Source organism: Homo sapiens, chromosome X (genome assembly GCF_000001405.40).
Source record: "Homo sapiens chromosome X, GRCh38.p14 Primary Assembly".
NCBI lineage: Eukaryota > Metazoa > Chordata > Mammalia > Primates > Hominidae > Homo > Homo sapiens.
Genome location: NC_000023.11, coordinates 21,367,036 through 21,393,215, shown reverse-complemented (window position 1 = coordinate 21,393,215; position 26,180 = coordinate 21,367,036). Strand labels below are relative to the sequence as shown.

At 38.6% G+C, this 26,180-nt stretch overlaps 2 protein-coding genes across 9 annotated transcripts in view, besides 3 other annotated features; one reads left to right on the top strand and one right to left on the bottom strand.

Moving 5' to 3' along the window:
• The window catches only part of CNKSR2 (connector enhancer of kinase suppressor of Ras 2), a 280,272-nt gene extending 261,474 nt beyond the window's left edge, over positions 1-18,798 (bottom strand). For all 8 annotated transcript variants that reach the window (NM_014927.5, NM_001168647.3, NM_001330770.2 and 5 more), the window contains exon 1: positions 18,255-18,798. In NM_014927.5, coding sequence (NP_055742.2) covers positions 18,255-18,318 — 64 coding nt within the window. In that variant the 5' untranslated portion in view covers positions 18,319-18,798. The remainder of the gene's footprint in view (positions 1-18,254) is intronic.
• LOC105373146 (uncharacterized) overlaps positions 18,794-26,180 on the top strand; it is a 74,604-nt gene continuing 67,217 nt past the window's right edge. Inside the window, exon 1 of the mRNA XM_047442707.1 lies at positions 18,794-19,233. Coding sequence (XP_047298663.1) covers positions 18,794-19,233 — 440 coding nt within the window. The remainder of the gene's footprint in view (positions 19,234-26,180) is intronic.
• Positions 18,873-19,373: an enhancer, noted in NCBI's record as "H3K4me1 hESC enhancer chrX:21391961-21392461 (GRCh37/hg19 assembly coordinates)". NCBI's record gives its function as "activates a minimal SCP1, AML or CMV promoter by ChIP-STARR-seq in naive H9 embryonic stem cells {active_cell/tissue: H9 hESC(naive)}" and the evidence as "EXISTENCE:reporter gene assay evidence [ECO:0000049][PMID:30033119]".
• Positions 18,962-19,161: a silencer, noted in NCBI's record as "silent region_20699". NCBI's record gives its function as "represses an Ori minimal core promoter by ATAC-STARR-seq in GM12878 lymphoblastoid cells {active_cell/tissue: GM12878}" and the evidence as "EXISTENCE:reporter gene assay evidence [ECO:0000049][PMID:35858748]".
• Positions 19,374-19,874: an enhancer, noted in NCBI's record as "H3K4me1 hESC enhancer chrX:21391460-21391960 (GRCh37/hg19 assembly coordinates)". NCBI's record gives its function as "activates a minimal SCP1, AML or CMV promoter by ChIP-STARR-seq in naive H9 embryonic stem cells {active_cell/tissue: H9 hESC(naive)}" and the evidence as "EXISTENCE:reporter gene assay evidence [ECO:0000049][PMID:30033119]".

Below are 26,180 nucleotides of genomic sequence, written 5' to 3'. Positions count from 1 at the left end.
GAAAAAGACATTTGGCAGCAAATCAGGGCAACACTTTTAAGACATTCACCTCAACAATGTCAACAGAACTTCACATTTTTACAGAGAGGTATTAATAACAAAGAATCAAGTAAGTTGAAATTGTGACAATTATAACATTTCAATTTTTTGTGGAAAGAAAAGAAGTATCAGGTTAATGCATTAAGTTTTCTGTCAGTTTCTTTATCTACTGATTACCAAAGACTGAGCTTTTTAGAATTTTCACACCATTAAACTAAAAAACAAGGAAGATCTTAATCAGAAAGGCACAAGAATTAAGGGCAAGTATAAAGTTTTGAAACTTAATGTAATTTCTTGGAGATGTGAACAGAGGAGGTCTTAAATTACAACCCCTCATAACCCAAACTCATCTACTAAATGCACTACACGGACTCATTATAAGATGAAAATAAGGTACCACATTTAATGACAAGAAGAAAAGCATTGACTTCCTTGATTAAAAACAATCAGAAAAGGTCTTTGAGTTATATTCGATTTCAGCAAAACTGCTTGGTATGGTTTGGATTTCTGTCCCCACCCAAATCTCATGTTGAACTGTAATCCCCAGTGTTGGAGGAGGGGCCTGGTGGGAGGTGACTGCATCATGGAGGCAGATTTCCCCCTTGCTGTTCTTGTGATAGTGAGTGAATACTCACAAGACCTGAATGTTTAAAAGTATGTGGCATCTTCCCCTTTGCTCTCTTCCTCCTTCTCCAACCACGTAAGGCATGCCTGCTTCTCCTTTGCCTTCTGCCATGATTGAAAGTTTCGCGAGGCCTCCCCAGCAATGCTTCCTGTACAGCCTGTGGAACTGTGAGCCAATTAAACCTCTTTTCCTTATATATTACCCAGTCTCAGGTAGTTCTTTACTAGCAACGTGAGAACGGACTAACACAAAAAATTGGTATGTAGGAGTGGGGCATTGCCATAAAGATACCTAAAAATGTGGATGCAGTTTTGGAACTTGGTAATGGGCAGAGGTTGGAACAGTCTGGAGGGCTCAGAAGAAGACAGGAAGATGAGGGAAAGTTTGGACTTCTTAGAGACTTGTTGAATGATTGTAACCAAAATGCTGATAGTGATATGGACAGTCAAGTCCAGGCTGAGGTAACCTCATATGGAAATGAGGAAATTATTGGGAACTGCAGTAAAGGTCACTCTTGCAATGCTTTACCAAGGAGACTGGCAGCATTATGCCCCTGCTCAAGGGATCTGTGGAACTTTGAACTTCAGAGTGATGATTTAGGGTATCTGGCAGAAGAAATTTCTAAGCAGCAAAGCATTCAAGAAGTGGCCTGGTAGCTTCTAATAGCGTATGGTCATATGCATGACCAAAGAGATGGTATGAAACTGGAACTTATATTTAAAAGGGAAGCAGAGCATAAAAGTTCAGAAATCTGCAGTCTGACTATCTGGTACAAAAGAAAAACCCATTTTCTGGGAAGGAATTCAAGATAGCTGTAGACATCTGCATAAGTAAAGAGGAGCTGAAAGTTAATAGCCAAGACAATGAGGAAAAGGCCTCAAAGGCATTTCAGAAACTTTCATAGCAGCCCCTCGTGTCAGAGGCCCAGAGGCCTAGAAGGGAAGAATGGTTTTTGTAGGCTGGGCCCAGAGCCTGGCTGCCCTGTACAACCTCAGGACACTGCTTTCTGTGTCCCCAGCCACTCCAGCTCCAGCTGCGGCTAAAAGGACCCCAGATACACCTTAGGCTGCTGATCCAGAGGGTACAAGCTGTAAACCTTGGCAGCTTCCACATGTTGTTAAGCCTGCGGGTGCATAGAGGGTAAGAGTTGAGGCTTGGGAGCCTCTGCCTAGATTTCAGAGGATCTATGGAAATGTATGGATGTCCAGGCACAAGTCTACTGCAGGGGAGGAGACCTCATGGATGACCTCTACTAGGGCAATGTGGGGGGGAAATGTGGGGCCCACACACAGAGTCCCCACTGGGGCACTGCCTAGTGGAGCTGTGAGAAGAGGACCACCATCTTCCAGACTGCGGAATGGCAGATCTACCAACAGCTTGCACCATGTACCTGGAAAAGACGTAGGCACTCAGTGCCAGCCTGGGATAGCCACCAAGGGGGTTGTACCCTTCAAAGACACAGGGCCAGAGCTGCCCATGGCCTTGGGAACCCACCCCTTGCATCAGTGTGGCCTGGATGTGAGACATGGAGTCAAGGGAGGTAATTACGGAGCTATAAGATTTAATGACCGCCCTGCTGGGTTTCAGAATTGCATGGTCCTGTAGCCCCTTTCTTTTGGCTGATTTCTCCCTTTTGGAATGGGTGTATTTACCCAATGCCTGTAACCCCATTGTATCTTGGAGGTACCTAACTTGGTTTTGATTTTACAGTGTCATAGATGGAAGAAACTTGCCTTGTCTCAGATGAGACTTTGGACTGTAGACTTTTAAGTTAATGCTGAAATAAGTTAAGACTTGGCAGGCTGTTGAGAAGGGATGATTGTATTTTGCAATGTGAGAAGGACATGAGATTTGGGAGAGGCCGGGGCAGAATGATATGGTTTGGATTTGTGGCCCCACCCAAAACTCAGGTCGAATTGTAATCCCCAATGTTGGAGGAGGGCCCTGGTGGGAGGTGATTGGCTCATGGGGGTGGATTTCCCCCTTGCTGTTCTCGTGATAGTGAGTGAGTGCTCATGAGACCTGGTTGTTTCAAAGTGTGTGGCACCTTTCCCTTTGCTCTCTTCCTCCTTCTCTAGCCATGTAAGACGTGCCTGCTTCCCCTTCACCTTCCGCCATGATTGAAAGTTTTCTGAGGTTTCCCCAGCCATGTTTCCTGTACAGCCTGTGGAACTGTGAGCCAATTAAACCTCTTTTCATTATAAATTACCCAGTCTCGGGTAGGTCTTTATGCCAGTAATGCAAGAACAGACTAATATACTGCCCTAGGTAACTAAATATCTGCCCTAAGTAAATGTGTGTGCATATTTATACACACATTTATATATACAGCTGATTATCAATTATAAACCACAAGATTTATTTACTTAAAAATTATCATGCCTTGCTTAACATTCCCACACAAATTGCCTACAGGAAACAGAAACTACAATTAGAAGGAACACTGGGAGTCAAGCTTTGTTAACAATGTTTAGAATAGCACACTCTTCTGTCTGAGAGTTTAATTGCAAATTGTTTAGCATTAAGGTAAAATGAGAAGATGGAGCTAACTTTTGGTGGTCTCCATCCTATCCATGTACATTTAATCTCCTTTTCTTAAACATATTTCCTGATTAGCAAAAGGTAAAAAATGCTAATCAAATAAAAGATTAAATTTAGTAGAATGAAAACAAAGTATAACATTCATTCAATAAAATTATTTTTCAAATCACAACAATATGTATTCATAAAATTTAAAAAATGTTCACACGTGGAAAACTATAAGGTTTACAAAAAAGAAAAGTGGTAAGGCCAGGGATCCTGATGCCAGGCCAGGGCCAATATTGTTTCCTGGGAGCATTTTGAGAATTATGAGTAGTACTGGGTTATCACAATGATTAGGTTACTGAATGATTGCTAGATCCATGGATGGAACAATCCCACATAGTGAAGAACAACTCTATATCCCAAGTGCCCTTTTTTATTTGAAAGACTTCATTATTAATACTTCCAGAGAGGCAAAACAAAACTATTCATATATGAGACATAGCTTATCTTTTGGTATTACCAAATTTGAAAAATACTGTAACTTTTTTATTTGAACAACTTTTTAAAAATTTCAGAATAGTTTTACATCTACAGAAAAGTTGCAAAAAATAGTATAAAGAGTTCCTGTATACTCTTCACCCATATTCTCCTATTATTAATATCTCACATTACTATGTACATTCACTACATTAAGGAACCAACCTTGTTATATTGCTAATAATAAACTAAACTCCACACTTTATTTGGATTTCATTATTTTTCCTAACGTACTTTTCCATTCCAAGATCCTATCTAGAATGCCATAATATAACTAATTATCATGTCTCCTTAGCCTTTTCTGGTTTTTAAGTTTCTCACATTTTCCTTGTTATTGGTGACCTTGACAGTTTTGTGGAGTATTGGTTCGGTATTCTGAAAAATGTCCTTAAATGTGGGCTTTTCTTACGTTTTTCTCATGGTTAGAATGGGGTTATGGGTTTGTGGGGAGTAAAGAAAGACCACAGAGATAAAGAACCATTCTCATCATATCATATCAATCATATCACATCACATCATATCACATCGTATCATGGGTACATGCTATCAACATGACTTATCACTGATGATGTTAACCTTGATCACTTGGCCAAGGTAGCAACTGCCAGGTTTCTCCACTATAAAGTTGTATGTTTCCCCTTTTTCATACTCTACTCTCTGGAAACAAGTCACTAAATGCAACCTACAATCAAGGAGTGGGGATTTAAGTGCCACCTCTTTGTGGTGGGAGTTAGGGAGTATGTATATAAATGATTTGTAATTCTCTACATGGATGATTTGTCTCTTCTCCTCCATTTCTCTACTTATCTAGACATTTCTATCTATCAGGATGGATCCATGAATATATTTATTTTATATGTTGGGTTATAATCCAATACTGTAATACTTTATTGTTCAAATTGTTCCAGCTTTAGCTATTGGAAGCTCTTTCAGATTGGCTTTTCAGTCTTTTACATGCCCTCATCATTGTGTTTTTTGAACACTTCCTTACTTTATGGCACTACAGGATGCTCCAGGCTCTTCTCGCATATTCCCTATCCCAGCCCTAGAATATAACATTCTCCAAAAAGCTGTTTCCTTCACTCATGACTTTCAAATGTTCAATAGGAATTACTAGAATGGCTCATCAAATGAGTCTGGTCCATTAACATTTCTCCTAATATTTGTTTTTACTTCACTGTCTATTAGTTCATCTGTTCTTCCATTTTCTCTTGTACACTCTATGGAACAACTTCTGATTTTAACACTTCTTTTAAATCCAGATATGTTCATTAAAAGTAGGGAAAAATAGGCCTGGCGCGGTGGCTCATACCTGTAATCCCAGCACTTTGGGAGGCTGAGGTGGGCGGATCACGAGGTCAGGAGATCGAGACCATCCTGGCTAACACAGTGAAACCTTGTGTACACTAAAAATACAAAAAATTAGCCGGGCGTGATGGCGGGCGCCTGTAGTCCCAGCTACTCGAGAGGCTGAGGCAGAAGAATGGCGTGAACCCGGGAGGCGGAGCTTGCAGTGAGCCGAGATCACACCACTGCACTTCAGCCTGGGCGACAGAGCGAGACTCCATCTCAAACAAAAAAAAAAGTAGGAAAAATATCAATTATTTTCTTCTTGTATAGTCATACTGAGTATGTACATATAGAAACCCATATTATTTTATTATGTGTTTTTCTTTTTATTACAATAAGGGCATTTTAGTGAGTTTTAAAAAAATTATGTGACTAGGTAGGTTATATTATCTGAATTTTATTTCAGGAGATATTACATAACATCTGTTATGTAAAACATCCAAAAAGATTGACATAGGAAAAAAGAATGAGCTAGACTACAATGTGTGCACCTGATTTGGGTTCTGATTGAAGAAAAAAAAGTGTTTGACATTTATGAAACTAGAAATTTGTACATACAGATATTGATATTAAGGAATGAATGGACGGTGGCGTGATAATAGTGTTATAGTTCCTCAGCTATTCTGCTGTATTTCTTTTCTTTTCTTTTTCTTTTTGGAGACAAGGTCTCACTCTATCACCCAGGCTGGAGTACAGTGGCGCGACCACAGCCCACTGCAGCCTCGACCTTCCTGGTTCTGGTGATCCTCCCACCTCTGCCACCTGAGTAGCTGGGACTAAAGGCGTGCCCCACCATGCCTGGCTAATTTTTGTATTTTCTGTAGAGACAGAGTTTCGTCATGTTGCCCAGGCTGATCTCGACCTCCTGAGCTCAAGTGATTTGCCCACCTCAACCTCTCAAAGTGCTAGAATTACAGGCATGAGACACCACATCCAGCCCGCTGCTGTATTTATTTTCTATGTGCATGCATTAGTTTCCAGTATGCATATGTTTAAGAATAAGCAGCTTCATTTGAAAATCTGAAACATAAGAAACCACTGCCTTTAAACATTAAATCAGATACATCTTAAAATTAATGTAGATGGAGATTCACAGTATTACCATATTTAAACCAGATTGTTTTTTAAAACAAGGTGTCAACAATTATTTCAAAGAAAGTGATGAAATTCTCAAAAACATCCCCAAACAAAATTAATTTTAATTCATATGAATTTTAAAGGATAATGAGCAATTTAGGAGAAAAAGGTGCTTTACAGAGTCAGAGAGACAAGACTAAGGTAACTTCAAAGTGGTTGGTAATCTACCACAGTTCACAATTTTTTTTAAGGTTCTATTGTCCTGGGTATTGTAATAGCTTTTATAAAAAGTGAGAAACTTCAAACCATTCTCTCCACAAGTAAAGAACAATTTAAGTTATTTTCACTTATTTTAACACTTCCAGTCTGAAGCAAACTCACCTTAACTCTTTCTATTAAAAGAAAGCAAGGAGAAACAGAAAATATCATGTTTGCATAACTTTGAACAAATCCTACTTAAGTTTCCACATATATACTAGAATACATATTTTTAAAACATATACAAAATTATGTGTATCACTTTCAAATATAATGTAGATGGAATTGTGCCTTTCATTACCATTTTACAAGCACTCCATTGGTCAAATATCTCTAATTCAACTTGACCACTCCATATTTTGCATTTATTTCACAATAGTTTTTTAACTAATTATGATTAAATTTCCTCTAGCATTAAAATTGCTTTCGTGATTCACTAAACTTTCCTATCATATCACAATTTGGTCTATGATAAATGTCTCCAAACAAAACAATTTGAGGAGATGAATTAACATTTTGTAGGTATATAAGGGTTTCGGATCCATAGGAACGCACCAAAAAATGTCTGCTGTTCAAAGAAACACTAATGAAATGCAGGTAGCAAGGCTAACCACTGCTGAGTAAATCTTAACAAAACATCATTATTTTTGGTAAAATGTGATATACTTATGAATGTCTATTATCAGGCACCACATATTAACAATCCTTTGATAACAAAACATCTCAGCACTGGGTTCTTGGCAGTAGTGCTCAGGGTAGGCTTTTTTTTTTTTTTTTTTTTTTTTGCCTACATCCAGACTCAGCAGAGGGGAACATCAAACTCTAGGGGTCACTTCAAAATACAAAAGCTGTCACCAAGACTACAGTAATATGTGGCATCTTTGTCACTAATGAAAGCCCTATCCTGAGAAGTAGAAACAACTCATCGTGCATACACACGCGCACACGCACATCTCACTAGAAGCCCAAAGGACACAAAAACTATAGCCCACCTTACCAGATACTAGAGAAGGTAGGTCTGATGGAGAGGACATACACATCTTTGAAAAGTATTTCCAGGATTCCTCTCACGTCACATCTACCTCTGCTAGAAAAGCAAGGTGGAAATATTAGGTATTTTGGAACCAATCAGAAATCAATACTTAAAACAAACACCTGCTTAATAAATATACAGGTATATAGGACAAGTCATTCAACATTTCTAAGTAAAAATCTCTCTAAGCCAAAGTTCCTTCATCTGTAAAATAGGGATTAAGTCCAACCTTTCAGGGCTAAGACAGGCATTAAATGTAATGTAGGGAAAGCACCTAGCACAGGACACAGTATGTAGTAAGCACTTAATAAATATAATCTATTATTAGTTCTGCCTCTGAATATTGCCAACAGAATATAATCTCTTCCTTTAAAAAAGTTGACATTTATATGTGCTTACTATATACAAGGCATTGTTTTAAGTATACCACAACAGAAAAATGTGGCAAAATGTAGAAACATCTTTTAGATTGGTAATTGTAGGTAATACCAGCATCCCCATTTTATAAAAAGGAGAAAACTTGGGAAAATTACTTAAACTCTCCCTAAGATCACACAAGCTAAGAAGTGATAAAGTCAGGATACAAACCCAGGTATCATGATTCCAAAGTGCTCTTACCTGTACTATATTACATATTATGCCAATTTTTAAAGGGTAGAAAATTCAGAAAAAAATTTTAAAAGGTCAATTCTGAAAACCATTGTGTACCTATCTGAATTGTGTCCTTTGCCCACTAAATTGTAAATCCAATCCAGTAGGAGAAAAGTTGACGTCAAACCTAATTTCACTGAACAGCTGTACAATCTCTGTTGAGCTGCTTAACTTCTCTGTACTTTACCTATAAAAAGGTGTTAATAACTCTCCCTTATCTCACTTTTAAAGATTACTAGCAATAATATAATGTGAAGTACATGACCTTTCCAATTTGGGTGAATGAGAAGAACCAAGCTATATTAAATAATGTTTGGAAAATACTCCAAAAAATAAAGACTGATAATTCTAAGTATACAGAAATTCTAAGTAAAAATACAGCTCCTTTCTAACTAGCATATTTTCAGTATGTAAGTGGCTCCTGGCAAAGTATAGTACAAAAACATTGTATTCTCCCAGGTCAAACAATTTCTTTCCAATCTTGTTTGCATTATTAGATTGATCAGCAAACCTTTCCTTCACATATTAACAGTAATCTTCAATAGGAGCACAGTGAAATTATCACAAATCCCAAATAAACAGAATCTCAATTAACAGGTTTTTACCATAAATAAACTCAAAGCATTATGTCTAGGGCCACTGGAAAGAAAAATCATCTAACCCAAATATTTCACAGAACTAACTACTCTGTGTGTGTCAATTCAACATCAAACTGAAAGTCTCTGGTCTGACAGCTAGAAGGCAACAGAGCAGGCTTCTGGATAAGGAAGCCTTGTTCCTTTGATTTAATGTAACATTAGTGCCAACAGAGACTGCCACAAAGCTCATCCTGACACCAATATAATAGGAAATGGGGAAAGAGCACCTAGCCCTGCCATATCATGCTAGCTCTATACCACATCAAACTTGGTTTCTACGTAAGTTCCAGCAGGCCAGGAGGAAAACTAGCCACTGGACTACTATATGTCTGTTTTGAGCATCATGAGCAAAATCTCTACACTTTCTCTGTTATATGTATTTAATATCCCAATGGCCTGTTTTGAAAACCAAAATATAAATGATTTTCACAAAATTAAAATATCAATTTTCTGAAAAAATATACAAAATAAGTTCCTATATACACATAAAAAACACACCAAAATTAAAACAAAAATTCAGCCAGTGTTAACATTAATCATTCAGCTGTATTATTTAATGCCAGCATTGTTAAAGGTTTTTACTAATAAATTACATTGCTAAGTATAACTAACAAGTTACTAGAAAATAGATTCTTTTACAATCTTTGGTAAATAAGTTGAAAAAAGGAAAATCTAGGATCTAAGCCAGGCTTCCATCGATTTGTTCTAGCTATTACTTAAGAAAACATGTTGCAAGCCTGTTTTAAAAATAGCAGATGTATCTGGAACAAAATAAAAAGTTCAAACAAACACCAAAAAAAAAAAAAGATATTGAGCAACATTTAAAAACGCAACTAATTTAATGAGGTTTCTTCTTATCTACCACTGTATCTAAAGACCATCCAACCTACTTAATTTCTAAGAACATTAATGCCAAGTAAACACATAAGAGTCATGTATGCTATACTTGATATTAGTTATGTAACAATATTTTTATCATGACAAACTATCATATATTGGTGTCAGTGCAAGTTTTGGTTTACTAAATAAATTTTGATTTTTCAAACAATTTTATGTTGTGGTAAAATAGTCAACAGATGAACAAAGAGAGCTAAAACAGTTATTACTGCACTTTAGTAAAATTTAAAGTTCAATGCATTTATGCAAATAGCAACAAACTCTTTTTTCCTGAAATTGCAAGAGTAAGATAATGAAAACTTCCATTAGAATTAATGATTGTGATTTAAATTAAAATCAAACAATAAATTAAATACATCTTTAAAATTTAAAAATTCCATCTTGTAGAATAGTTGTTTGCAAGTCAAATCAGGGCACAATTGCAATCCATTGTTTTGCAGTACTAGCTAGAGCATTTAAGCCTGATGGTGTTTTATAAAGAGTTAACAAACTGGCATGCCTATTAAGATCTTTACAATTTCACTTACTCTGATTTGTATTTTAATGATTCTAAATTGGGAGGAGGCAGGCTTTATTAGAAAAATTTTGGTAAGTTGCCTACTAGTGATTATCTAGCAGCATGTAATTCATAGAAAATCCACTTGAGGCACCTGTATTTAGCAAACTATGCTTTGCAATAATTCTGTACGTATGTTCTTAACAAGTGCCCTTCAAAAATTAGTAATGATAAACTTACATCTAGTTTTTAAAGTTTTCTTTTTTTCAAAATCAGAGGGAACGGTGAAAAATTACACAAGAAAATGCTGATTTAAGATGCACCTTTAAATACCTTAATTGTATTCCTATTAATAAAAATGCAAATTGAACACTAAATATAATAAATAAGATAATGGTTTCATTAAGCCCAAGGGTTGTTTTTCCATTTTATCGTCCCAATTAACAAATAAAGGATATCCTCACAACAGAATAATGCATTTTAATTTTTTATATGAGCTTTTTGTTTTTATTTTTATGAGGACAAAATTAAGACATCTGATCAATTTCACTCCATCATGCATTCTAAGATATATAGAGTTCTTTAAAAAATACCCAAATGAAGAAACAATTAGAAAATTTGAATGAAGGGAAATAAATGCTTAGGAGAAGGAGTGTGTTTTAATGTTTTAATAAGTATTTGCTTATCATGTTGTCTTACTAAGTGATATTAGTAAGTAATATTTATACTATTTATAATATGGCATAAACACCAAAGTGTTATTAATTTCCTGAAATTATTAATATTTTGTAACAAAATAAGTTTAAACCATGATTCGTATCTTTGAATTGGCTAGAGCACTACAACTATGAGAAATGGATAAAGCAACCCTACTTCTACTGTATTCTGGCACACAATATACAAGTTGGCACTGAAGTATCCATTAGAGCATTATAAGGGACTTTACGTGCATTGTCATTTAGGAAAGCAGATTTGCTGACAGACCAGTAATCTGTGAATAAATTAATTTATTCCTTCTCTCAACAAATATTTTCTAAGTGCCTATTTCATACCAGATACTTTTTTACACACTGGTACAAGAAATAGATGGGGTCCCTGCACTCATCTAGTGGGGGAGTTGGATATCAAATAACCATCCAAATTAATATAAAAATAAAACTGGTGAATGGGACACAGGAGATATACATGGTACTAGGACAGCATATAACTGAGGATTTGATGTGATTTAACAAATCTGGAAAGGCTTTCCTAAGGTGGATGAGAAAAAGCCTAAGACGTGAAGGGTGAGTAAGACTTAACTAGGTGAAGAGGGATAGGGAACATATTAAGTGCAAATGTCCAGTGGTAGGCAAACAGGAAGGACGGTGAGGCAGCCTGCATACTTGGTGCTGGGCATGACGCTTACCTCATAGGCAATGGCCAAACCTTCAAGAGTCTTATAGGCCATGTTAAGGACTTTGACCTTTATCCTAAAAACAATGAGAAGTCATTAAATTGTTTTAAACTGATGAGGGTAAGAAGTGAGAGAATGAGATCGGATGAGATTTATTTTCAAGGAATTCATCCTGACTGCAGGTGTATGGATCAAACAAATAAACAAAATTAAGATGCTACAATTATCATGACCTCGACTGAAAATGGTCATATTTTGTGCCTTGTGGTAATAGGAAAAAAAGGGAAACAGAGTACATTAATTTTACCTTTTTTAAACTCAACCACCACTTCTCCAACTTTTCCACTGATGCATCTGTAATTGCTCAAAAGAGTGTACTCAGCCCTGGGAGGTCTGGAGAATACAGCTTTAAACAGCCTGTTGCAAGCCTAAAATTCCTGTTAAGTCTCTGGTCTCATCTTTGAAATAATGCCAATTTTGCTTTCTACATCATGAATATAATATCCATGTTTGTTTTAATATAATGTTTTAAAAAGCTTAGCAAAAAACAAAAAAAACACAACTCTTTGGCTTCTTTTGATCATTTGGCTTCCACAACCACAAAAATATACCATTTTGAGGAATACAGGCCTATGCTATACATGAAAACTGTGAATTCCCTCACCGAATGTAATTCAACACAATGATTCCACATTGAAGACTATACTTGCTGTTTTTAATCAGACACTAAACAATAAAAAGCCATGAACAATTAAAACTTTTAGACTCAATTTTTTTCAAATTACTTTATACTCCCTTCCCCCAACCTTTTTTAAAATTAGTACAGATGATCCACTCTTTTAGTACTCTTTTTAGAAGCTAATAACTTTATTCTTCACAATAACCCTTATGTGTGAGGTACTGCAGGGAAGACACATAGAAAGCTAAAAGTCATTAAGAACAAATTGAGGCTGGGTGCAGTGGCTCACGCCTGTAATCCCAACACTTTAGGAGGCCGAGGCAGGTGGATCACTTGAGGTCAGGAGTTCAAGACCAGCTTGGCCAACATGGTGAAATCCCGTGTCTACTAAAAAATACAAAAATTAGCCAGGGGTGGTGGTGGGTGCCTGTAATCCCAGCTACTTGAGAGGTTGAGGCATGAGAATCACTTGAACCCAGGAGGCGGAGGTTGCAGTGAGCTGAGATTGTGCCACTGCACTCCAGCCTGGGTGAAAGAGCAAGACTCTATCTCAAAAAAAAAAAAAAAAAAAAAGAACAAATTGAGCCCTAATCTAGGGTTGCTCTGTTATAAATAAAAATGATAATTTATCATTGCTTTAAGAACAGTATTAATACTTAAAAGTCTATTTCCATTCTTCATATAAGAACTTGGTTCAGTAAAATTCGAAATATCTAACAACATGTTAATGATTTGTCTTCAAAATAATTTAACATTATTTTCAAATCATTCCTGAAAAACAGATTTGAAACAGCTGTACCAATTCAATACACATTCTTTGTGGGCTTATTTTTGGCAGCTAAAGTTTTATAATGTGGCATTTATTTAAACTCAGGACATGATGAGAGTTTTATTGTCTTTGTGAAATGCAGATTTGTTCTTGTACTTTTGTGCCACCTACTCATGCTCCTCCCTCACTTTCCCTCTACTGCCCACCTCTCTCCTTCATCCAGACAAACCTATATACAACCCCCCTTTAGTTAATAACCCCATTTCAACTCTAGAGTTTCTTGCTGTGCCGCTACATTTAGTATACATCCCTCTTAGATTATGCCTTAATTAAATAAGTAGCTTAAATAGTTGCTAGAACCCCACCCTCCTCACAGATCCCTTCCTGATTCAATAAAATTATCATCTTCTCTTTCCAATGGTGCTCATATACAGCCTTTAAAAAATTACTACATGTGCTAGTTGGCACCTCTCTCTGTCTTTGCCTAAGTTTGTCAATGTCACTACCATCCCTTACAGAGGCTAATTTCCCCAAAGCAGAGAATAATTAATTTAAAACAACCCATTAAAGCACCCTCCATGCAAAAGCACTGAGAAAATAATATCTATGGAGCAAATATATCTACATAAATATACTCCTTGTTCCTAATCTGCACTAAATCATGAGTGTTACATTAAGGAGCAAATGTTAATAACACTATAAGAAAAATAACATTTCTTCTGAACGAAATTCTACATATGGAAAAGATATATTTCTTCTTTACATAAAATGACAAGAATTCCTGTTCCCCAAAAAAGTCAAATCCAAAGTAGACAATTGTTGGTGCCAATTTAGTCACCTTTCAATTGAAAAAAAACCCTAAGTTTTCAAAAGGAAGTGATACAATTTGATCACTTAAGCTTATTTGCAGTTCCTGCCAGAAAATTATTTCCAATCTCTCTCTCAAGACAGTTTAACTCAAAATTTTGATATTTTCCTTTATGTAACAAAGACAAATTTCAACCTCAGCTCTGGGTCCTATGACGGGAAAAAAGAATTACTAAAGAGTATTGTACCTGTCAAAACATCTTTGCCTTATCCAACACATTCTCCTTTACAGCATTTAACTTTTATACTGACTAGACTTTATATAATCACTACATTTTCCTCTATTACAGGACTGTATACAAAACATTGGTTTTGCTTTTTATACCTAAAAGAATGTATTTTATTTTCTATCCTCAAGATGGCTGAGTCATCAGGACAGAAATTAGAAGTCAGAGAATGCCTCTTGAAGAAATGATTTATAGTAAACAGGAAAGAGTAGAGCAGTTGATTGTGGAATGGGTTGAGAAAAGGCTATCTTAAAAATTTAGATTATTTTAAGAATCATAATAATACAAAAGTGGCTGGAGCTAAATCACAGAGATGGTAAGAGAAGACAAGCAAAATGGGGCCTATTGGTTAACTCTGAAAAGTCATAATCATTTTATTTGACCCAGAGAGATTAAAGATTACTGGAAGAATGTAATGTAGGGAGCTGAGTCCTAGAAAAATAACTTAGTCATGTGGATATTTTGAATGAGTCTCAGAGTTGGAAAAGATGTAAGAAAAAAAAATGGAAAGACTGGGTGTGACACGGACTAGGAAAATTAATAATAAAGTTAATAACAGGGGCCCTAAAGCATTCAGGGGTTTTTGTTATATTTCAGTGGGCAAAAAAGTAGAGATGGTCTGGGGACTCAAATAACTGCAAATTATGAAATATTTCCAGGCCCTGCAAGTGAACAGGTAGGAGCTGAGAAATAACTTATTTTAGAATAACAGATGGAGGAAAAATTAGAACAATTATTGGCCTACTTTTCTGCCTATGGCTTTTTCCAATAACTTATTTGCCTCTATTTACCTTGAAAATAGTTTATGTTTTAAAATATAAAAACTACAAGAGGATTGGATGCAATTTCCAATTGAAGAAGGTCAGTTTCAAATGCTAAATTATGAGTATTTGATTTTCTCCAAAAATATTTTTATAAGATTAATATTAAAAATTAATTTGAAGGTCTATAAGATATCTCCAAATAGCCAGAAGTACTATCAGGATAATTTGGGATATAGCTACTTATTTCACTGACTCATAAGGAGTTCATGTACTTACTGGAAATAACATTGACACTGTGTCATATCCAATTTTTACTGTCAGTAGAAAATTTAGTTGAGTATTTGATTTTACAAATAATGAAGTTGGTGAGCAAAAGAATACAAGGATTTCCTTATATTTTTACTACTAACAATATATACATTTTATATTTCCATCTCCCTCAAATATTTTAATAAAAATTGATCAATCAAAATGAATCCATTTATACATTGCATCAAAATTGCAATGTAAAAATTGTCCCTCATAAATAATCTTGAATATATGCCACTAAAGCTTAATAATCTTGTCAGCTTTTTTTCCCCCTTCATTTCCCTCTCTGGGACTGAGTTTCTATACCACTTCTACAAATTGTCTAGAATCATAAATATATGGCCATTCCTATTCTTACACACTTAGCGATTCTTTTTCTGTTTAGTGAAGAAAAAAATACCCTAGAAAGTACATAAAGAATGTACCTTACTAAACAGAGTTACAACTATTTATGATTGTGACCAGCTGAAAGCATATACTATATGCTTTTAATGCTAAGGATGATGAAACTGTCTCATTAGGAGCATCCTCTGAAGAACTCCCACATTGCAGTTGTTCAACAGTCTTGTTCATTCTTTGGTACTGCCTTTACAACACTACATATTATACAACACTAAATGAGGTTTAGCCATCTCAAAGCTATAGCCTAAATTAGCAGTTGACTTTTAAATATTACTGCAGGATGAAAAATATTTTTAAAATGTCCTTTGTTTAACTTTATTTGGGGAAAAGGGCAAAGAGAGAAAAATTAAGGTAACAGTGTAAGTTACAAGTTGAGGAAATGTTTGTTTCATCCAACTATTTTTTAAAATCTCATTTTCTGATAATATCTCAAATCAAATATATATGAATATTAAGGAAATTTCAGCAGTAAGTAGTCTGGGATTTGAAATATACAGGTAATTATATCATTCATTCTCTTCCAGTCATATGTATACACGATACACAAACTATCTTGGCTACCCAATTGATCTTTTCAAATAGCTCTAAAATGCGTCACCAACAGGTATGAAAACAAGGTATTCGACTTACATTTAAAAAAAATTTTCAAATCACAGCTAACAATGTTAACCTAACTTCAAAGAAGCCACATTTTAGGCTGGAAAGATTTTTAAAGGACTGGTGTACTGGACAACTAATAATGTGTGTCAGAATAGGTGCATCATATATTCTACTTGCTTCAGTGGACCTAAACTATGGAGAGAGGGGAAACTGCAAGAATATAACTGGGAGGGTGGGAGGTGGAGACTGAGTATGCAGCACTCACTACAGGCATCATGGGAATTTGCGAAAGGTAGTCTATGAAGGTAATCAGACTCCCATGGAGCCAAGATAGCTTGTCTTTTAATATTTCAGCAACAGACTCAAACTAAAGTAACCTTTTAGACAAATTCAAAGAACGGGGTTTTAAGCATTGTTGCTTCCTGTATATACTCTGGCTCTTTCTTCCATCACTGAGAAACGGAGAAGGTGGAGAGTGAGGATAATTGGTGGGAATCTAAGATATTGGAATTTCAATAGCAAATACATAAAGAGAAAAAGCAGCAGCAAAGATGAGCCACTGCAGGACTTTGTCTTAGTCATCTTTATATCCCCCATGGCACCTTAGCACAATGCACTGCACACAGGGGTGCAGTCGATAAATAATGTATTAGGTTTAATTCAATTCACTCACATTTGTACTGCTTAGCAGTTACAAAGCAGTTTCCACATATTAGAAAAGAAAAGCAAAGTAAATGAGGAATAAAGGGGCAAGTAAGGGAATAAAAGGAAAGCAAAATAAAGAAAAATCCACAAGAATAAGCAAGCGGCCAAAAAGGCTGGGGAAAAGAATGAGCAAAAAAAATCAGTTTCTCCCTGTCACTCTCAATCCCTCCCAATCACCTCACCTTTCGTTCTAAATTATCTGGAGCTTAGAAAGTCTGACTGTTAAGTAAGCCCAAGAAGGGGCTCCTTCATCGTAGGAACGGGCATTTTCAGCGATAATAAGCCTTTGGTCCCTGACTGATCTACCTAGAGTTTGCTCAGGTATGACCTCGAGCAAAGCGCTAACATTTCCCAAGTGTGGCCACGCATCCTTTATTCCATTCCATCCCATCCATCCCCTCTTCAATTCCCAAAATCTTAGGGAAGAGTTGGGCCTGAGGATCCAAGGGGTTGGTGGGTGGGGGAGTCCTCTACAAGCCCCTTAACTCAGACAACAGAGGGAGGTAGTGAGACAGGAAAGCCCAGGGATCAGAAAAAAAGCTCACGTTTGCGATTAGGAGGGTGAGTGTCTATAACTGTGGTTATTATAAATCGCCAGGGACAAAAGGGGGAACCTTCAAGATGGAAGAAATGTGAAGGTACCTGAATGCGCATCACCTTACATCTGGCGTTGAGCCCTTAATAAAAAGCCGTGAGGTCCAAAACCTCGACTGGCTTGAAAGGGAGAAAGCAGAGAAGGCAAAGGATGCGAGGGGATGCGCTGGAGGCAGCCCAGAGACAGCAGCAAGGATGCTGTCCCAGGGGAAGCATGATGTCCTCACCCTCAAAGTAGCACATACCCCCACCCTGGGCATCCTCAGCCAAATCTGGGTGTGGGGGGATGCCAGGCTCCGAATGGGGGCGGCCGCGTCCTGACCCCATTATGTGGGCTAAAAGTTGCTTGGGAGAGTTGGCGCTGGGGAAGGCACCTGGCAAGGGCGGCCGCCGAGGGGGCGTCAGCTTTCCCAGGAACAAAGGGGCCAGGAAAGGGCGACCAGGGGAGCAGGTCCTGGGGGAGTCCACCCTGAGCTGGGAGATAAGGGTCGCCACGTCCTCCTGGCCCGGGGGCAGTAAGGGGAGAGGGGAGTACGCAAGATGCGCCGGTATTCTGCCTCCCGACTTCCTGCCTCCAACGGGGTGGCGCCCGCTGCCCTCTAGCTCTCTGGCCGCTCCGCGCCCCTCTAGCTGGAGACAAAAGGAGACCGGGGACCCCAGGCCCCTGCCAGTCCTGGAGGACCCCCGCCCCGACGCGTACGACGATCCGCCAGTGGAAGCCGCGGTGGCGGGCTCTGGCGCGGCGGGCGCCCCCTCCTAACCTCGCACTGGTGCCCCGCGCCCCAGTGCCGCCTCACCCTCCCCGCAGCGGGCATTACCTTTCATCCAGTCCACTACTTGACTCGGAGACCATTTGCTCACCGGTTCCATTATCAGAGCCATGGGTACGGGGTCGGTTCCGTGCAGAGCGCAGAGCTCAGACACAAAACGAACTCAGCAGCCCGAGCTGCTCTCAGGTGGGGTCCCTTGCTGGCCGCAGCCTCCCTGGGCGGGCGGCGCGGAGAAAGCGGCTTTTGTGTGTCGGGTCTCGCGGCTGTAACGTCTTTTAGCCAACCGCCGGCAGGAACGGCGACAGGGAGGTAAACGTGCAGGAGTCGTGGCTCCGCGCCGGGTCTGCTCAGTTCCCGCTAAGGCGGCGGCGGCGGCGGCTGCTGCTGCTGCTGCTGCTGCTGCTGCTGCTGCTGCCTCCGCCGCTCCGCTCCGGTCTCCGTCCCTAGGGAGCTTCAGTTCATAGCTTGAGTTGCTGAGGGGTCGCGTCGCCGAGGGAAGCAGCCTCTGCCGCACGCCCTCAGCCAACTTGCCCGCTCGCCTCACGCGCGGGAGTGAAGCCCCGAGCACGACTAGCTGCCCGGCGGAAATGACGAGGGGCCTCCTGCCACCCAAAATATCTCTCCGCAGCCCTCGGGTGCGGGGCGCGCGCGCCACGAGCCCCCCGCCCGCTCGCTGCCGCGCGGTCCCGCCCCCAGGGCCGACGGCAGGCGCGCGAGGCGCGTGCGCGTGCGCGTGCCGGCACGAGGCCGGAGCCCAGGGTCTGTCTGGCAGGCAGACAGGTGCCAGCAGCTCGCAGCCTGGCGTTCCCGCTCTGGGGGCCGTCCGGGAACAGAGGCGCGCGAAGTGCGCGTGCGCGGCGGCGGAGGCGGTGGCGGCGCGAGGCAGAGCCAGAGCCCGGGGTCGGTCAATCAGGTGCGGGCGGCTGGAGCATGGCTTTGTGAGGCCTCTGAGGGGACCCGGCGGTGGCGGCCACGGCGGGACGGGCCGCCCACCAGTTGAACTCCGACAGCTGAGGCGGCTGAGGAGGTATCCGCGGCCCCACCACCGAGGGGAGGGGGACACCACTGAGCGCGGGGCTTACAGCGAGAGCCCGGGCTTTCCTGGCTCTCGCTTTCGCCCTCGCCCTCCCCGCTGCTGAGTGGGCTCCGGAGGTGATTCCCGAGACCCGCGTACGCCTGCAGAGACGGAGGTGTGGACTGCCGTGGACGAGAACGGGGCTCCGCCTGCCAGAAGCGCAGCGATGATGAGGCAGGAGGGCTAGTGCTGTCGGATCTTCCCCGGGTGATGAGCGGGTCCTGGGAAGTCAGGCGTTGAGGCTGTCACCTGCCAGCTGCTGGTTGTGGTGATCCTGAGACAGGTTCTGCCCCAAGTACCATTTTAAAGGGCTCTGTTTCAGGTTTTGGGCCAACTCCTCTAAAGTACCTATTTTAGAGAAGTCATTTTGTGTTTGATATTCTTATATATTAATAAGAACCGAAGGGCAACAATGGGATTTAAAATGAGTGACAAATTGTAGACATGATTTTTCAAAACTCATTTTCTTCAAAAACCATACACAGGCTACTATGCAACGGTTAGTAAAATACAGTTTGCCTAATGAGGCTTCACTTTAAAAGACAAATATTCCTAGAGTGTAGATGCTAACTCTCTGCCACCGTTATAGGCGTTTTCTCTATCATTCTTAAATAGGTCCATTAAGTAAAAGAAACTTTTTAAATAAGCATTCCAGTAATGTCAATAGGTTTTGCCAGTTCCTATGGTAACCCATTTTCTCTAGTCCAATTTTATAAGATGCAGAAATGTCACGTTCTTTAACCGGCATGAGTTGACGACACCCTTCCCCCCCACACACACACACACAAACAGCTGAAACCACAGTAGTTAAAATATTGTGACGTTTTTAACTGCTGATTTCAATGCTAGTGATAGCGAACAAGTAAAATTTAAGATGGCCTGTATTTAGGCTTCTTTATTTTTCTAACTATCCAAACTTAGAAGTATATGCAGAATTTTGGAAAGACATTTAGAAAATTATCTAGACAAGCCTACATTCAGAGGACACAGATACAACACCTTACTTTCACAATCCAGATCGTGGTTGTGACTTACAATTTTTTCTTGGCTGACCAGGTGTGAAAGGTATTGTATTTTGGAGTGCTTACATTCCAGTAGAGTCTAAGAACATTACATCAATGTTTCTAGAAAAGACCGTTTTCAGTGTCAGTAATTGAAGGAGTAGCTTTATATATATATATATATATATGTGTGTGTGTGTGTGTATATATATGTGTGTGTATATATATGTATATATGTGTATATATGTATATATAGTGTGTATATATGTGTGTATATATGTATATGTATATGTGTATATATGTGTATATATGTATATATGTGTATATATGTGTATATATGTATATATGTGTGTATATATGTATATATGTGTATATATGTGTGTATATATGTATATATGTGTATATATGTATATATGTATATATGTGTATATATGTATATATGTGTATATATGTATATATGTGTATATATATGTGTATATATGTGTATATATGTATATATGTGTATATATGTGTATATATGTGTATATATGTATATATATGTGTATATATATGTGTGTATATATATATATTTTAAATGTAATGGATACATTGTGGGGCTGCAGTTATAGGGAGATGCTAAAAGTAATTTTATCAAAATAATACCGCTAATAATAACAATGAATATTTATTGAGCATGGTGCTAAGTACGTTACATATGTTTTATCCTCCAAAACAGCTCATCATTAGCCACATATTACAGATAAGAAAACCCTACCTATCACATTCACTTCCTATCTCCAAACCTATTACACATAATGCAATAAATGTTGGATAAATTAATGAATAAGGCTTAAAAAGGTAATTTGTCTGATGTAATGATGCACCAAGTTAAGGTGATTCCAGAACGTGAACTTTTAAAACTAGTAAAAAGAGTTGTATCAGTGTTACAAAACGAACAGTATGAGTGATGGAAAGCCCATTGAGCGTTAACAGAATATGTCTCATCAGAAGTAACTACAAAAAAGTGTGAGAGTCACCCTGAGTGTTCCTGACCAGAACCTAAACAGCAACTCTGAGAATGTAGAAAATGACTAAATTTGAGTGACACACCAAACTGCACCTTGAGGCTGGACTTGCAGGACAAGCAAGGTTCAAAGTGAGATATTGCTTGCTTAATGAGTGGAATATCAAAACAAATGTCAAAGACCAAGATGCAGTAAAAATAAAACAGATGTGTGTCTCATGAAAAGACCAGTGCCAAAGAAGATGGGAAAACAAGATCCCAGAGAAAGATTTTGAGGAAGACCCTAGATCAGAATTCAGTCATATATGTTCTCCTCTTATTTATGTTAAAGTAAGGAATTCATTTGGTCTAATCACCTGAGATTATTTAAAAAAATAAATCTAAGAACTAGTAACGACTGAAACAAAATGTAGGTGTGGAGTTATACTATCTAGCAGATTTTACCAAGGCTTTAAATATTTGCCCTAATTCCTTCTCCCTGAGGTTTCCCCTACAAAACATAGCATTTGCCTTTGATTTTGACAATACAATGGGCATTAATTACTTCATTTAATTTGTTCAGAACATAAGTGGCTTTTTACTTCAAATATTCTTGATTTGGGGGAAATCCTAAAATAAAAGGATGAAATCTTCATTGCCTTCATTCTTATTCTTAACTACAAATGACTCAGCTAAAACTTTCTTGCATTTTTCCTTTCACAACTTTTCAAATAAACTAGGTTTTATTTTTTTTTTTTTTTTTGCTTGTTAGTCAAAATGTTAATGTCTGGCTCCATTTTTGTAAGTGTAGTGTAATGTGATTACATACAGACTTTAGCAGCTTAATTTTGCCTTCTCCTAATGCAAAATACAGTCTCAAAGATTAGGAGAAAGTGTGTTGTCATAAAATACATACTAAAACATAATGCATAAAGAGTATGATGTCACACTTACTTCAATAGTCTAGATATAAAAGCAAAACTGATCTTTGGAAGCAGCCTTAGATTCTTTTTGGAAGCAGACAAAGTATAAATATTAAATTAATTGGAAACATAACTTGTGAGATATTTGTACCCATATCAAAATGAATCACTTTAAATGACCTTTTTATTTTAAAAATAATCTCGCGTCAGTTTATGGCACTAGTTGTTATAGTTTGGTCTTTTCTAATCTTGTCCCTCTAGATTTCACTAAAAAACTCTCTTGATCAAAATATTCTCTTAAGGTTTTATAGTAAAAGAAGTGAGTCTAATTAGCTTCAGATATGGAATTTACAAATGGTTTCCTAAATAGAAGCTGGGTGGCTCAAAGGATCTGACTTTCAGAGGTTAGGTCAGATAGGGAGGGAGCGTTCCACTGGAAGAAAGACCTTCAAGCCTTTGTCCCTTTGGGACCAAAGAAAGGAGTAAAAAATAGGAATGTTTCTTCTTGAGCTGCAAGCTTAGTATCTCTGACCCCTACGTTGTCCCACCTAGGCTATCTTATAGGGGCCATAATCTTCACTTAGCGTTTTTTCCTGCTAAAATGCTTGCTCTGCATCAGACCTCAGACTTGTCATGTAAGACATATTTTAATATTTTTAGTTACTTAACATTTAGACAAAATGTATTGTAGAGTCCTTTCTGGTAATTTTCCCAGTTCATTTAGATTTAGTATTTTTTGCTATAGCTGTTTGATTTTTAGAATTCTTGCCATTTTAATGAGTAATATTTTATCAAACTATTTTCTCTCTTTTATCTGTTGTCTTTTAACGGGTAGTGAGAAGTGACAACACAGAACAGCTGTGAGGGTAGTCCATTATCTAAACTAGAGGAAAGGATAGGAACCTCCTTTTTCCACTTATTTTTGCCCAGACCTTTTCTATCATTTCAAAAGCTGGTGTTCTATGCTTGCCCAAACTATACCCCTTGATCAGAAAAAATTAGGCATTTCTGGTAAGACTAGTAAACAAAACACATTATTCCCGAGAACAATATGTAAAACTTGCTCCAGGGAAATCTCAGCAAAATTTCTGAAACAATTTCTTTGCAGTGTAATCCAACTAACAGCTATGAATTAAGTACCAAAGCCTCTGATATACCCAACCACTTGATAGCAATCTGTCTAAGCTTCCAATCATCAGAGACCTTAACTGTAAATGGGCCTTCAGTGCACTGCCCTGGGCCAAATCTCCCTCTAGATTAACAGGGAGAAGCACCCAGAGAGGATAATTAAATTAGTAGAATTCTTTCTTTGCTGTTCTGCCTCTAGGGTAAACTGTATTAAATCCAGCCATGTCCTTTCTTGACCGAGATATATGGCAATACTCTCTGAGTGAAGAGAAATTGGCTTGAGTTGAGGTTATCCCAATAGGGTTTAATAGGGCTCTTTCCAGGGCCCTTCATTGCTGCATTAATCACAATCTAATAAAAATCCCAGAGCCCACCAAGATTAGGAAACCTAGTTTTCTTAACACATAAAGCCCTAGCCCACCAGGGAAGTTTTCAATACACTTGTCAGCCATAAATGACAGGCATATAAACTCATTATTCAACAAACATTTCTTTGAGCACAATGTGCTGCTCAAGTTGTATCCTTTGATCAGAAAAATTAGCTTGATTTTGTGGATGCAAAGATGACCAAGATTTTCATAGACTGGTAGCAGAAACAGAAACGTGTAGTTAATTTAATAAGATAATGTGATAAGTGCAATGATAGATGTGTCCAGTGATATGTGAAGAGAAATACCTAGCAGCTGGGAGGAAGACTATATGGAAAGGATAACGCCTGGTTTAGATTTTAAAGGACGACAGCCAGGCATTAATGCGGAAGCGACCTTATAGGCAGAAGGGACAGTGCAATCAAAGTTATAGAGCACTATGTATAAGTACCTGGATTGCTGGCATTAAAAACCAAAGCAAGAGGTGACAGGAGATGAGATGGGAAGGATAGGCAACAGCCAGATTATGGAAAAAATCAAGCTGTCCAAGATAGAGCCATCTAAGGATTTTAAGAAATGGAGTGACTTGGTCATATTTATATATTTATGTTTTATATAGACTACTCTGGCAACCATGGAGAAAACAGATTCAAGAGAGATAGGATGCAATTCAGAGGATGTGGCAATAGACCAGTGAAGAGATGACTCAGGTCAGAAATAGGGCAGTGGAGGTGGGGATGGAGAGAAGAAGATATATTTAATAAATAGGTTCTCGATTAGATACAGGAGATTAGAAAAAGAGCAATATCAAGAATGATTCCTGGGATTTTAGCTTGGGTAAATGAGTAAATTGTTTCTCCTCCATATAACATAAAAAATAAAGGGAGCTGACTTGGGAGGGGAAAGTGATCTGAGATATTAGTTCTGTCTTGGACATTCTAAAGATGGAATACCTATAGGGCAGTCAAGAAGAGATTTCCAGTAGGTTGCTTCTGTGATCATGTATAGGAATGTGAAGCTGAGTATGGGCTGAAGATATATGTTTGAGAGTTACTACTAAAACAAGAATATTGATGAGACAGGGAGGATGTCAGGTGCCCCATTGAGGAAGCCCACAGAAGAGAAAGAGAAGGTATGTAAAATAATTATAAGAAGAACCAAGAGAATGTAGTGTCATGATACCCCAATGAACAAAGAATTTCAGGTAGAAAGAAGTGAAAAATTGTGTGAAGTGCAAAAATGATGCTGTTCCAATAAGAACTGAAAAAAAGAATCTGGTAGTTTTGTCAGTTTTTATATCCTTTATGGCATTATTAAGGTCTGTGAAAGAAGTGGATGTCAGAATAGGGAGGCTTGGTATATAGGGCATTAATTTTTTCACAAGTTGATTTTCCTTCTATCTTTCCCCATAGCCTACCTATGTGCATATTTTATTCAGATGGATCCACAATGAATGACTACAATTCTTCTCCAATTTACCCACTACCACTTGCATTAATCTTTTCTAATGAAATCCCAGACACTAATAATGACACCTACTCTTATCTGATTATATTTTACCACTTCTAGTAGTATGATGACACTCTTTAAACTGGACCGGCTTTGAAATCCCCCCTCCATCAGTTGTAGGGGAACAGCTTTGCCGTGGCACCCTGGGATCTTACACATCTCCAAATGAGCCCTGTAGGCAAAGATCAATTGCGTTGTGACACATGTTTTGGCAGAATGCTCTACAATCCTGCCTGGAACATGGCAAGACAGTCTAGTGAAGAACTATCAAAGTCAATTTCTCATTTCCGGGGTGGAAAGTCATGCCACCCTGGTTCCAGTGAGGCATGGGACTTTCCATCTTACCCAAACTTCAGATACAGTTTCAGACTAAAAATGGTTTAGCTGTAGTTTAGAGTTAGCTCTTCAACAACAGAGTGACCCAACATCCGTGTCTTCTATCATCTGTCCCTTAGGATTTGGTGTTATCCTATGGGACTAGGGACATGGGGAGCCAACACCATGCTGATTTTGCACTGCTGTCTGTGTAAATAATAAACTTTCTCAATCTATTCGGAGTTGTCTCTTTACTGGCCAAATCTATGGAAGTGTGACAAGCCAACTTAGCAGCTGCCACCATGGTGCTGCATAGGTACTGCTTGACCACTTGGCACAGATCTGACCTAGGAAGCTCATAAATATGCCCAAAAGGAGTCAGATCTGCTGAACCTCTGCCTGTGGATAAACTAGGCCAGTCCAGCGTGGCCTAGTAAATCAGCAGCAGCAGCAGCAGCAGCAGGAGCAGCAGCAGCAGCAGCAGTAGCAGCAGCAACTGTTTCAGATTTGAAAAGACTACATTTTTCCTAATCATTAGGGCTTCCTAAGATAACCCATAATTAATAAAAATCCTGTGTTGATATTGCAGGATAGGAAACAAAGGAAAGACCCTGATCTAAAGCCTTTATTCTGAGCTTTAATATTATTTACAAAACACAGAAATTTAGGGAAT